The 15,455-nt window shown below is 35.2% G+C and overlaps 1 protein-coding gene across 4 annotated transcripts in view; it reads right to left on the bottom strand.

Annotated features, from left to right (window-relative positions):
- TRPS1 (transcriptional repressor GATA binding 1) overlaps positions 1–15,455 on the bottom strand; it is a 260,480-nt gene that overhangs the window by 171,682 nt on the left and 73,343 nt on the right. For all 4 annotated transcript variants that reach the window (NM_001330599.2, NM_001282903.3, NM_014112.5 and 1 more), the window contains one exon: positions 6,824–7,427. In NM_001330599.2, coding sequence (NP_001317528.1) covers positions 6,824–7,427 — 604 coding nt within the window. The remainder of the gene's footprint in view (positions 1–6,823; positions 7,428–15,455) is intronic.

The raw sequence follows: 15,455 nt of genomic DNA on the forward strand, positions 1-15,455 counted from the left end.
TTTGCTTACAAACACTTAAGGAAAGTTTTGAACAGTATCTAATGGAAGGGAGAGAAGAAAAAAAAAAAATATATATATATATATATATGAGAGACAATGGAGATAATATTTACCTTTTTGGTGAAAATAACAAAATCCCCAAAAATCCAAAATAAAACCTCGTTGTGGCATTTTAGGTATTAATGTGCCTGTAAAATGGACCCATCAGACTGGGCTCTGCCGGAAAATTACCAGATTCACATCAACACTACATACCTCATTTTTGAATCATTCTGGCCCTGTGCTCCTGAAACTTGGGCCACCTTCTGTATACTCTTCACTTCCAACATCTAAGAATGCTCAACAATGGGTTCTTTTGGGGGCCCTGTTATGTCCTGACTCATGCAGTCCATGGAAAAGAGAAGCCAAGCAAAAGATAGTTATATAGGAAATAATGAACAGATACTGCACTAAAGGATAACATTTCACAGTAGCTGCAAACCTACAGTCCAATTCACTAAGATACATCTGCTTCACCTGCTTTAGAAACCTGGGCCAGCAGAACTATGCCAGACCTCACAAACAGCCTAGGTTACAAAAACATTGTTGTTGTCGTTTTTCAAGTGCTATTAATGTGGGTGGGAGTGTAAACTAGGGCAGCCACTATGGAGAACAGTATGGAGGCTCCTCAAAAAAACCGCAAACAGAGCTACATACATGATCTAGCAATCCCTCTCCTGAGTATTTTTCCAAAGGAAAGGAAATTAGTATATTAAAGAGACACCTGTACCCCCATGTTCACTGCAGCACTATTGACAATAATCAAGATACGGAATCAGCCTAGGTGTCCAACGACAGATAAATGAATAAACAAAATGAGGTAAATACACACAATGGAATATATTCAGTCATAAAAAAAGAATAAAATTCTGTCACTTGCAGCAACGTGAATAGAACAGGCGAACGTTATTTTAAGTGAAATAAGCCTGGAATAGAAAGTTAAACACTGCATGTTCTCACTTATATGTGGAAGCTAAAAAAAAAAAAAATTTATCTTGTAGAAACCAAAAACGGAAGAGAAGATATTAGAGGATAGGAAGGGTAGGGGGAAAGGGAGAATAGGCAGAGATTTGTTGAAGGATATGAAGTTATAGCTAGACGGGAGGAGTAAGTTTCAGTGTTCTGTAGCACTGTAGGACGCCTGTACTTAACAGTAGTATGTAGTTTCAAATAGCTGGAATAGTGAATGTCCCTAATACAAAGAAATTACAAATGTTGAGGTGATGGATATACAAATTACCCTAATCCTTCCACCACACATTATATGTATCACAACAGCACTATGTTCCCCACAATATGTACAATTATTGTGTGTGCATTAAAAAAAAAGTGCTTTAAAAAATGTGTGGGTTAATGAAGCAGACTTATAGAAAAGAAATTAGATTGCTTAAAAATCTCATTAATCAAACTAATAAAACCAAACTTCTATACCTATGGAATATGGAACGAATTTGACAACTTTCTACTGTCAAAAATGGTATATAAATGTAAAAGATGAATAATCAATAAATAAGAAAAAGCTACTTCACTTTTACACGGTAAAACAGAACTGTCATGTTCACTATTACACATAATGAATTTGATACATGGATTGTATTTTTAAAATCTAAACTAAAACATATTTGAGTTTAAATCATATATTTTTCAAATAGATGTCAACAGAAATACATCTATATGGCACAGAAGCAGAGACATGTACAAGGATTTTTCATCTCTGCATATAGTCAATAGTTTTTAATCATTTATTTTACTCTCAGGCAAAGAAAATATCAACTGCTACCTAAAGAGAAACTACCAACAGGGCCTAAAGTCATGGCTTCATAACCAGTGTTTAGAGAGGTATATACTTCCCATTTTTCCTGATATAGTCTGATCTCTTTGGTATTTTACTTATGCACATGTAAAAAGTCCAAATCGGGTGAGAAAACAGTTATGTACATAAACATTAAGTCAGTGCTACCTCTTTGATAACTGGAATTTTGCTTTCATTTTAATTAAATATGAAGCAAAACAATGAATATCACTTTTCACTTCAGACCATCTTTAGTTAAAAAAAAGCTCCTGCAGTCTTCTGTCAGTGGTTGTAAAGGCATTCAACATTGTCACTTGTTTAAACGTCTGTTTGGCTGCCAATGGACTGTCCCCAAAAGAACATTTTTGCATCTCAATAGTCTGTCCGGTATCAACAATCTTTAAACTATAAATTTAACGCTGCTGAAGAAAAGGGGAAATAACATTCTCATTGTACTGTCCTGGTATCACACTTACAAAATGAACAAATAATCAGACTATTTCCACTTATCTAGCACTCTGCATCTGAGGATCTCAAATGGCCTGACAAACGTTAATTAACTAAGCTGCACAACACTCCTGTGAGGGTGGCAGGCAGCATGATCCTCTCCAAGCGACAGATGAACGGAGATCCTGGGAGGCCCTTCCTTTGAAAGTCAGTGGCTCAACTTGGAACTCAACTTCCAGAACTTGGAACTCAACTCCCCAGGCCCATGGTTGAGCATCTCCGCTGAAGCCAAGTAGCACAAAATGTAGATGTTACAACTGACAGACTTTTCTAAAGAAATTTAAACTGGAAACCAAGATCAATCTCAAGGAGATTTATCTTTCCTCTAGCTGCAAGAAAAAAGTGCTCTAATAACTACAGCATTTGAACCTATGGAAGAACCTGAGCTACAAGTTATCTATAACATTCCGTTTTGACAAATAACATGGAGGAGTTTACCTGAATGTTGATTTTCCATGAGCTCCCCCTAAAGACTCACCCAATAAGCTTAACTGTACTTCCGTATTTTATTAACAAATGAAAAACTACACAATGTTGGTTAATTTTTTTGTGAAATTTAATGATCGATTTTTGGATCCTTATTCATGTAGTTATCAGATAAAAAGCCAAGTTTTCTGCAATGGAATATCCAATCTAAAAATTCCATTACAAAAATAAAATCCAGAATTTCTTATTCAGGAAACAATAAAATTAATACAGTTGCATCTGCATAAATTTATCTAAAAAATAAATACCTTTGTGTAGATGTACATCATAAAAAAAAAACTTGTCAGAAAAGTATACAACTTTACATGAATGCTGACTATACTATACTACTTAGTTTAAAATGATTAAGAAACATCTATTGGAATATATAAAATAATTTACTTATACTGTTGGTACAGGTAATTTTAAACATGTTAACCTCTTCACAGACCTAAACTTTAAATAAAAACACTGGGTTTTCAAAATATTATTAGTAAATGTTGGTAACCATTTTCAGGAGGTGATTCATGTTCTATAAGATCTATTCTAGAAATGTTAAGATAATAAAGTTGTCATATAAGCTTAGACTATTTCTAGCAAAGATTCTAAAGCCCTTAATACTTCTTCCTACTAACACAAGAAAATACTCAAAAATTTTGTAGAAATATTGTGTGATTAATATGCAAAAAAAAGCCTAGTTTTCCTAGAGCAATTTATAAGATCAAGTTTATGGCAATGTGGCTTTTGTCATACTCAAAGCACAGAAGTCAACACAGAGGCATATGCAACTGAAAATTTTTATATCAAGATCAATTCCATACTAATAACAAGGGAAAAATATAGACATTTACTAAATAAAAATATACATAAATGATATCATATTGAACACAAAACTAAAAGCCAAACACTGACCCTGACATAAGCCAAAAAAAGGAGAAAACCACTAATGTTAATGAAGAGAACATTTCGAAATTTTAGCTCTTCTTGTGATTCTTATATTTCCTTCCTCACTTTGAGAAGTACAGCAAACTTTCATTGCTAAAACCAGTTTAAAAAAAAAAGTTATCAGAAAGACTAATATGCTGAAAGCAACATTTTAATTATGTGCTTTGTAACACAATCCTAACTACATTCAGCCTTTTATTTCAAAATGTTTCCATTATTTACCAGCATAGTATTGAACTATATTAAATCAACATTTTCTGTTGGGCAAGTTTTCCATACTTAATTCTTGATATCACTCTGTATAGTATTTTTAAATGATTAAGTTTTACTTTAGTATTAGAAACTGTATATATAAATGTATTAATATACTTGCTCTATTAATGCTATATTGAAAAAACTATTTAATTAAAAAGGTACTTTTAAAATCTGATAGTTTACATTTCTTAAATTGCTTACAATTTCTGAATAATTGTAGTTACTTTCAAGTTCTATTTTATTGTTTCAAATATAAACATGCATTCTGTAGGCATATATTTATACACTACTGTAATTTGGGTTCAAAACATGTAAATTATATCTGTATATTTCTATGGTGTATTTTAAATTATTACAGGACATCTTCACTAATAACTATGCCTCTGAAACTATAAACTTATAGTACTTTTTTTTTGGCCTTTAGTAAACATGACCTCAAAATTCTGCTTTTTTTTTTTTTTCTACCACTGGTAGGGTAATGAATTAGAGGTAGGTAATTCGGTATGATAATTTCAGAATACCAACTAATACCACCAAAGTAGAATTGGTGTCAAATTCACAATGAGAATGGGCTGTTTCTTAATTCTGTTAGGTGTCTTAAAAAGCTCATCATCTAAGATATGTACACATTGAAAATTTCATATACAGCTAATAACCTAAATGTTGCCCAATAAATTAAATTGGCTACCCTTCCTATTCCAAATATCCAGTAAAATTGGTGATTTCCAAAAGCACTATTCAAATATAAAATGTGAATCTTAAAAGATTTAAATTTTATTGCAACCACAGAATGATTCAATATTCTTCCTTTTATATATGCATATGCATGTATTTGTATATATTAATGTAATTTTATCAGATCTCTGAAATTTAGTAGATTACAGCCTTTGAAGATAATAAATCATAGGGTTGGAATTTGGCTATTATTGTAGAACACAGCTAAGGAATCTCTTGTTTAAGGTTTCCTACTTCAGCAGCTAATGTGGAGGAACTGAAAAGGCTGTTAAAATGATGCAATAGAAACTTGAAATCAGGGATTTAAGGAAGTGGAGGAATTGAGAAAAACAACTTTTTAGAAAAGTATTAACATCTCCATCTTGCTCAAAAAATGCAACCACTACGCTCAGGTTTTTTATACCATTGCTTAATAAATTGTCATTTCAAAGTCTTAGAGTATATAAACAATGGCAGAAAAGGTAATATTCCAGAAACAGTCAAACAATATGGTGTCAAATGAAGATGTCATGGATGAAACCAATTTTAAGTAGAAAAAGGAAGGAAAGGGGTTCCGGTGATATAGATATAAGGCCCCCAAATATACCATACTCTCAAAATGCAGTATGAATTTAATAAAACATAGGACATTTCATTCCCGCCTTATAACCAGAAGCCATGAGTCACTTGAGGCCAGAAGAGTAATGACATGCTGAGAAAACAACAAATATTGACAATGATAAAAATGCAGCTCCATGTATATTCACTGGAGGGGAGTTCCCTAAATTGAACCCCCTCTTGAAGGGCACAGAAACTGTTTCTCTTTTTTTCCCGAAGTTACTCCTAATAAACTTGCTTCTTCCCTGCAGGAAGGATTCTTTGTTTCTCTCTGTACAGGGGGCATCTCCTCTTCTGTATTCAAGTCCTTCTCTTAGCTCCAGGGCATGACTACAGATGGGAAAGCTAACAGCTTCTATAATTAACTGTGCACCTCTAAGGGGCGTTTTTCAACTCCGCTAGAGAATACTGAGAAGCACAGATAGGCTTCAGAGAATCTGCAGGAAATGAGAGCAGAGCAGCCAAGCAGACATTGGGAAGAGCAATTTTTCTCCCCAGAATACATCCAGAGAGAACTCACTGGTCTATGACCCGCAGGTCAAAGCACCTGGCTAATGGAACTCTATTTCCCAACTGGATCTTTTGTAAAGGTTAGCTGGTTTCTGATCCTACCTTCTATGCACAAACAAAGCTTCAAAATCATCCAGAGAAGCTCAAAACTTTCACAGACTTAAGGTAAAATGTCCAAGAGGTGGTGTCTTAGGCATCGAGCAACTATCACTTATTGGGAGCTCATGAATTTTCAAAATCTAAAATACTTTTTAACAATGCTGAGTCTACATAGTATGAAGAGAGCAATCGAGGATCTTACCTTACTCAGAGGTTTTGTTTTCTTTTTCCACATGGAACTAGGTCTTTCCCCCTAAAAGATCCTGTTCATATCAAATGCATGGCACTCTTCTTTGGCCGCTTTTCACACTATTCACACTTAGCCTTTTCTCATTTTTCCCCCTCTTGTTGGCAACTCGACAACAACAAGCATTGTCATTTATACATAATTATATCGTGGGTTTTAAAAAACTCCGTATTTTGGTATGAACATCTCATCAAGGACATTACATTCTTAGTGATTTAAATCTCTTCTGACTTCCTTATTAACCATATATTGTCATAGCAGCCTAAAATTTAAAAGTCATTTAGTTATTTCAGTGTAGCAGATGTACATCCTTCTGGGATTCTAAACCTCCCTTCTCCAAATATGGCCTTGTTGTTTTGTATAGTCACCAGGAATGATTAACCAACATTCAATCTGAGCTAAGAGCAAAGACAAACAAGTGACTGCCTAACACTGTATCAAGTAAGTGCACAGCACACACAAACACACATGAGTTACTTGCTGCCACTTTGGCCTTAGGAGTATAAATCCCCAGATTGAGACAGATCATTAAGTTTCACTTCACACACAACACAATCCTGTAGAGAAAGAATGTGTGTTCCTCCTTTTGCCCTTCAAAACAAATGAATTATTTAAAAATGAAACCATCCTACCCGTAACAGGGACTGGGATTCATCCTTGGACTTGTTTTCTCCCGATGCAGGATACTGCTGGGGGAGGGCCCCAGACTTCTCTCCGCCAGCTGGCGCCCCCTGCAGGAATCCCTTGGTTTCCACAGCCAAGCCATAAATAGGTCGCGCCAGATGGGCGGCCTCCACATTGGGACTATCCCTTAGAGTCTTTGTCTGCTCTTGGGTGCCAGACACAGGCGTCAGCAGCCCCAGGCTTGCTTGGGTGTATGACGGACTCCCCCGCAGGATGTCTGCCCCTCTCCAAGTCACATTGCGAAGGTCATCACTGGAACTCTCGGTCCAAACTTTCTCTTTGAGCCCGTCCTTCTCTTCCAGCTTCTCTCTCTTCACCACACTCTCAGAAACTGGCTCTCCCATTTTAGAGTCTGGAGTTAGCAGATTGTAGACCCTGAAGTCAATTTTGGGCTCCTCTTTGATGGTGGATATGGCATGACCGTCCTCTTCGCCGTTGGCTGTAGTGATGTCCTGTTCCTGGCAGTGAACAGTGTTGAAGTGCTCCAGTAGTGACTGAGTATCGGCAGCTGTAAAACTGCACTGACGGCATTTGTAGCAGCTGTGTGCTCTCCTGGAGAAGAAGAAAACAGTTACTGCAAAGACAGCGTTCTGAAGGGTTGTTTTATTTTTAATAGCCTTTAAGCACCTGAATTTTCTACCTACTCATGCAATATAGTAGGTAGAAAGAAATGCAATATTCTTAACACCCCAAAACTGGAATGTAATTAACAGGCATTTTCAGTTCTATATAAAGAGTTCAAAGTGCCCTTGTTATATTAGCAGTAATAGGTATAACACAGACACACACACACACACACACACGCATCGTGCACGCACGCACGCACGCTGCTCGTGCTTGTGCGCATACATTCCAGGTGATTAGCATTAAAACTGGTTAGTTTGAATTACTGTTAAATGCCCCACTCTGTTCATTTTGCCTTGATAGATGCAGTTTACCCTGATGGATAATCATGAATTATATCATTTAAGTCACTATTCTTAAGTTTTCACACCTGATTTAAAATGCCCTTTTCACTTTCTGTTATTTAAACTAAATTGAGGATTTTTCCCCCTGTAGATACACTTCAATTTCTAATGCTGAAATGCTTTGTACAGCTTTTCCATATATTAAAAGGAACTAAATTTAAATATAAAATAATAAATCATTATCAAATTATTAAATGATTTTAAAAAAGAAATAAAGTGTTCTTTTCTATCATCAAATTTAAATCCATTTAGTGAATTAAATATTGCTCACTGATCTGTAAAGTCTAGAAAATAAGATGTATTTATAACCCATGATTTTTCTCTAAACAAATTCTATCCATCTATGAGAACGTAAACACATTCAAGAAATTGAGTGTCTGTTGAGTGTCAAACACCATAATAGAGGCTTTACAAATATATTCATTAAAAGGGTGTGTGTGTGTTTTCTTTTTAAATGGCATAAAACAAGACAATTTTATTATCAAATTCCCTACCATCTTCTGCTGTTAAAGAGAGAACAGTGACTGCTACATTAGGGCAAATATTTGATTAAAAAAGAAGAACAGAAGTATTGCACTGTAAAAAGCATACCCGAAAGATACACAAGTGATGTGGAAAAAGTCATATTTTGTTTAACTATAAAAACTGTGTATGGCTGTCTAAATAAATATCAGGGAAACACTTTCTACTTCCCTGATATAACTTGCTATGAATTACCAAATTAAAGTAACAAAATAAATTTTGTGAGCTATTACTTAAAGCTGTAAGATACTGTAAGTTATGTACTCATACATGTAATTTTAGATAATCATCAAAATATTTCCTTGCCAGGCACTGGGTACACATTGGTGAATAAAAGATATATAGTCTTTGCCCACCTGCTGCTTAGAGTCTCGTCAGGAATGACTAGACAGGAAGTTTCACATGACTATAAGTCTATTAAGTACAAAGAGTGACAGGTGCTAAGAATGAAATGGATAGTAATTGGTATAAAGGGCTGCGTAGGTAATCAGGAAGGACTTTCTGAGGGAGATATATGAAATCAAAGGGTGAAAAGAAGCTATCCTTGGAGGATGAGGAAGGGGAAAGGAAGCCACATTCTAGCTAGTCTGAGACACTGAAAAGAGGACATTGTGGTTTTAGAGGAATAAGTGTGAGGAAGAATGTCAACTGACAAGCTTGAAGGGTTATCTAGAGCTTTGTAGGTCATGGTAGGGACAGGGGATCTCGTCAAAGGTAAAGGAAGGCAATCAGCTGGGGAGTAGGTGCTCAAATGCATGTTTTAATTACTCTGGGGCTGTAATGTTTATCAATAACTTCATTCCTTTATAAGACATGTCTGATGGCTGAAATTCCAAAAGAATGTTCCTATTTTATGGAAGGAAAATTCAAAGGTATAAAACATGAAACAAAATCTCAAGTATTTGTTGAGAGTGCTTAATGTAGCATACAAGAGCTTACATTTTGTTGAGTAAATATCCATATTTACTTTTTACAGAAGATTGTTTCCAATCTTTTCCCTATTTTTTTCATTGTTTAAGTAGTAAAGAAATATACAACAAATGACAAATAATGGGAGGATGAATTGACCATAAAAGCACAATAGTAAAATTAATTCCCTCAAGTGGAAACAGCCTAACCTTTAACGTGAAGACGATTATCAACAAGAGGAATAATCTTGCCACCAATGTCAAGGCCAGAAAATTCAAAAACAGGACTAAGAATACAAAAGACAATAGACAATACCTAAAATCTAGGACCTAGAACCTCTGTGGAGCTCATCTACAAAAGCTTCTTATCAAAAACACATTCTAGGCAGGGCCTGGTGGCTCACGCCTGTAATCTCAGCACTTTGGGAAGCAGAGGCGGGCAGATCACCTGAGGTCAGAAGTTCGAGACCAGCCTGACCAACATGGTGAAACCCCATCTCTAATAAAAATACAAAAATTAGCTGGGTGTGGTGGCGGGAGCCTGTAATCCCAGTTACTCGGGAGGCTGAGGCAGGAGAATTACTTGAACCTGGGAGGCGGAGGTTGCAGTGAGCCGAGATCACGACACTGTGCTCCAACCTGGGCGACAGAGCGAGACGCCATCTCAAACAAAACAAAACAACAACAACAAAAAAAACCCACACACATTCTAGTTTAATCTAACGGGAGATAAACACATAAATCCAAAATTACCCTACTGAATATATTCTACACAATATATTGAGTCATGGAAATTAAAACAGCAACAACAACTTCTGAAAGCACTTAACAAACCATGATTGATTTTCACCCCAAGATGGTTATAATGGACTCACTGTCCACTTTAGCATATTTGTGGTTCCTTGACATGGTGAGATCTCTGCTTGAATTCTCTAAAGAAATCCATGCCTATAAATTAAAACTACAAATTACCACTGACACTTCTACCAAAACTGGTAGCTCCAGTGATAAAATGCCAAAGAATCATAGTGATTCTGTTTCAAGATATCAAGACTGTAAATACCAGGGTGACAAGAAGGAGAAGGGATCAACATATATGAAAAGAAATACAAAATTCTTGTGGACCACAAAGCAAAATTATTTTCAAACGGTAGACTCTCAGTTCTTACTGGTGAAATGACCAACCACATGTAAGCGTGTAGACTCTTAAGGAGAATGCTTAAGCTTCAAACTTTGGCTCTGTATTCTACAATGTAAGTAACTTCGAATAATTTACTGAACCTGTCTCAGTTTCCTCATCTGCAAAATGAAAATAAAGTTGTCTCTTGATATGGTTCTTGTGCATAATAAGTAAATAAATGAGAGTTAATCAGTATAAATCCTAAAATTAAATAAAGCCCCTCTGTTCTCTGTGAATCCACATTCCGTACTGTTTCTGCAAGAGTTTAAACTTACAAACTGGTGTTTTGGTATCATTCATTGCCATTCCCCCATGTACCTTAACCATGACCAAAAAAAAAAAACATTTTTAAAACCAAGCTTATGTCCTAGAAGATCCTTTGCTTTAGGACATGGCCCAGTAGAATATATTCTATGCTTTTCTGCTTCATCTAGCGGCGTTTAATGACATGAAAGAATGAGCAGTTTAGCCTTTTACTGCTTAATTGTCAAGCTTTACTCTTTTTTCATTAATAGCAGTCAGAGCCAGTATCTTCAAATTCTAAATAACAAAGACAGTAAGGGCATTACCTGTGTTTTATTAAAACCTTGGGAGGTAAGGATGTTTTATGAATGTATTCATTAAAGTTGTTTAGAACATGGCATATCTAGGAATATAGCTAAGTAATTAAGATTATGTTACTTCAATGTCTACTGATTCTGAATAAAGATGAAGGAATAGGGGTCGCTTAAGAATATTTCTAGATTGCAGAATCAGTAGATATTGAAGTTACATAATCTTCACCTATTATTTAACTAGTACTTCTTCCTAAATATACAAGGTCCTAGGTCCCTGCCCAAAACATGAGTTCATCACAGGGTATGACACCCTGAGACAAGGTGTCTGAGTCTTCTAGGTTTTCTAGTTTGAAGTTCCTGTCCCAAAGGAAAACTCCCTGACTCCTGGCATGTCTCAGCAGGAGCTGCTGTCATCATCCTGGAGAGGACCTCGTGAACCAACCGACCTAGGCAAAACCGCCCATGGTACAGGTGCTGGAGAGCTGTAGGAACACAGAGAAGAGTGGGGATAGGAATAAAGTACAAAGGAAACAGAAAGTGCAGGGGTAAGTTTTCCGTGAGACCCAGGTTTTATGTCGAAAAGGAAAACACATTTTAACGGAAGGATATTACAACAAGGTTGTAAAAACAAGCTCAATTCACACTTCTTTTGAAAGTTCAAAGCACTCATGTCTACAGGTTCTCATGTTCCACTGAAGTATACGGCCCATTTCACAGATAGTAAAATGGAGAAAGAGTGCCTTGCCCATTTTATCTATATCAAGTCAAGAACACAGGGCTTCAAACTCCCAGAACAATGTTATATTTTTCTACTTTCCACTTCCTACCTTTCTAATTTTATATAAATGTTAACTACTGACGATATGCCAAATGAAAACACAGGGGATGGAAAAGGTCTTCTAACAGAGAAAAAAGAAACTGACTACAGCAATGGTTTGCAAAACAGGCTGGGCAGCATTGCAACCCAAAGAGTTTCTTTCTCAGCGATAGAGATTCCAAGTCTTTCTTATCCCACTGAACCAGAATATCCTGGGCATAATCTGAGAATCTAAATGTTTAACTTTAACAAAGTCCTCAAATGACACCAACGCAGGGACCAGTACCCATAAACTGTATTACTAGCTACATCATGGCTCTAAGCAACTTAATGAATAAACTCACAAGACATCTCCTAACTCCCAAGGCTTTAATAAAATACAGGTAATGATCTTACTATTATTGTTATTCAGAATCTTAAGACTCTGGGTCTTACTACTATTAATGAAAAAAGAGTAAAGCTTGACATTTAAGCAGTAAACTGTTAAACTGCTCAATCTTTCAGGCTATTGAACACCACTAGGTGAAGCAGAAAAGGCAATTTGCTATAAAGTGCTCTTGAGACTTGAACAACTCCTTTCTCCTTATATTATCAGTTCTAACTGAAGGACAGAAAACATATTAAAAAGACAACATTACTGTCAAAAGCCTGGAGCAATATGAACTTTTCAATAACCTATACTAAAATTTAGACCAGGCTTCTCAAACTAATGTGTAAAAATCACCTGGGGATTTCATTCAAATTCATATTCTGATGCTGGAAGAATAGGGTAGAATCTAATATTCTGTGTTTCTTCTTTTATTTCAAATTTTCCCAGATCCTGATAATACTTTGTATTTCTTACAAGGTCCCCAGACCACACCTTGAGTAGCAAGAATCATGCAGCTATGGTCATAAATAGCTCATGACAAGTGTGTTGGCTTGGAGTGTACTCTTAATATACCTGTATATATTCAGCACTTTTAGAACATTCCCAAATAAATTTTTTTTTTTTTAAGAAACGAGGTCTCACTATGTCGCCCAGGCTGGCCTTGAACTCCTGGGCTCAAGGGATCCTCCCACGTCAGCCTCCTGAGTAGCTGGGATTAGAGGCATGCACCACCATACTCAGGTCCAAGATGAATTTTTTATGAATGGCAACATTGTTATAGTTTTTAAGTCACATACACCTTCTGAGTCAACATTCACAGCTTTATAAAATAAACTACAAGCACAAAATTGTCAGGAATAATCCCAATTCATTTTTTCTTTATCATTGTTTGGAGATTGTCTTTAAATATTCTTTAGTGCCAGGTCATTTACATATATTGCCCGCAGCAATAACACAAAGTATATATTTCCACCCCATTTTGCAGATAAAGAAGTGGAAGCACAGAAGAGTTAATTAACATAAAAATATTGAAGGCAAAATAGAATACTTTTGCTCTTGTCTATGGTTACTGTTTCACGTACGTTATTTGATAGTTAAAGCAATGGTTGTTCAGGAATTAGTACCTAAAAGATTTGAGCATATTTTCTGACATGTATCAGTCTCTCAATAATAACTGACAAGATCTTCAATGTAATGTCACACTTCCAAATAATAAGACTAGATTATAATAAACCCCAGTAAAAGAAAACTTTTCTCAAGAATAAAAGTTTAGTCATTGTGAAAGTACATTAATTTGGACTCTCCTCCAACCTACTAAATGCACTTTCTTTTCATCAGCATTAACATGAAAACTTCAAAGACATTCAGGAAATTTTTCCTCTATTTCTCAAGACCCAACTTAACCACCCCCGCATCCATAAAGACTTCCCAAATGATTCAATCCAAGAATAAATCTAGTGTCTTCTTCGTTATTCTAAATCCTTGTATTCCTCTTCAATTTTTTTAATCACAGATGGTATGTGATTAAAATCACATATGCCTCACTTTACAAGTATATGTAATTACCCTAAGGTCGAGACCAAAGCTCACACATCTATTGATTCCCCTCATCACAAAACATCCAGATTGACAGTAAGTATCTGCTTAATAACAAAGAAATGGACAGTCACAGCTCTGGATGTTCAGGATGCTGGATTTAATATGTAGGGTCACAAAGCAGCAGAGAAATATTAAGATGTACACAGATATTTTGCAGATGGCATATTTTGAGTGATCCTATGAATAAACCCTTCATTAGTTAAAAACTCCTAAAACCTCTGGGTACATTAAGCCAAACTAATTTCAAATTTTTTACAAATATATGCTTTGTATTAATCTAAATGCTATATCCTCCTGCCACACTGACAGCAAACACTGTCTTCATATTATCTGAGAAAAAAAGATGTCATTTTATAGATCTCATTAGCATAAGCACAAGGTCATCACATAAAACACAGAATGCTCAGTTAAATTTAAATTTCAGATAATAAATGAATATTTTAGTGAATGCTGCATAAAATATTTGGGACATACTTTTATAAAATCTCACTGTGTCCCATACAATATTCGACAATGTGGAGGCAAGTCAAAGAAATTTTGATTAAAAAACTAAATCATGCTTTCTCTCTAGGCAAACGACATCAAATTGCCTAAAAAGATCAAATTTGTATTTAATTCAAGTGACTTAGAACCTCTGTGAAAAATGTTATTCTTATCTACTTTATAGAATTTTCATGTGCCATAAAAAAGCATTTGTTTTTTGATCCTTCCATGTTTCAATGCACAATAGTCTTTATTCACAATAGTAGTATTTCATTCATTAGTAGAGAATATTATGAATTATTTTCATAATTCATAAAGCATTGAGGAATGCTTCTAGAAAAAAATCAGCTAAAAGATGCTACTCCTTTACTATGCTCTGATAATATTTTTATTTTTATAATAAACCAACCCTGCAGCTGAGGGATGCCTTGTTTTTTTTCTTTTAAATGTTAACTTGAGATTTATGTCATCACTTGAAGAGCTCTTTTTTACTAGATAATAGCATGTTACTTTCAGTAATTTTTTTAAATCTTAAAGACAATCAATGAATAATTTTAACCACAGTTTTTATTCTTCAATGACTAAATGAAGCATCAAAGTAAATGAATAAATCATAAATACTAATTGATTAGACTTTCAGAGGTTTTTTTTGGTTATTACAGAATCAAACAACTACAGATAAATTATCACAGAAGTGGGGAAAAGGGAGGTGATTCAAATACTTAAATTTAAATGTAGTTCAAGTAGGTCTGAAATCTAATAAAGTTAGTCATTTTTGTAATATATGCATTGTTGCTATAAATGTCTACAATGAGTGGCATGTGGCATTACTGCCACTGTAAAATGATAAAATGAAAAACGAGAAGAGAGTAGCAGGAACAAAGACAAAAACAGAATTACAGATGGATTATTAGGTCAGTCCTTGAGAACTGTAAACTAGTTAAAAGAGGAGAAATAGTCTACAGAACATAATCCAAGAAAAATTGAAATTCTGGATGAAAATAATTATGTTGTTTACTCATCTTGCATTTTTAAGTTGAAATAATCTGATTAGGATTTGCTCAGTAATAGTAACTGGCTTTTGGGGACATGGGATGAGGTGCTCACATCTTCAAGTGGTAGAAAAAACACTACTAACACCATATCTTAAAAATCAAACTTAGAATCCCCTTTCAA

Source organism: Homo sapiens, chromosome 8, assembly GCF_000001405.40.
Source record: "Homo sapiens chromosome 8, GRCh38.p14 Primary Assembly".
Lineage (NCBI taxonomy): Eukaryota > Metazoa > Chordata > Mammalia > Primates > Hominidae > Homo > Homo sapiens.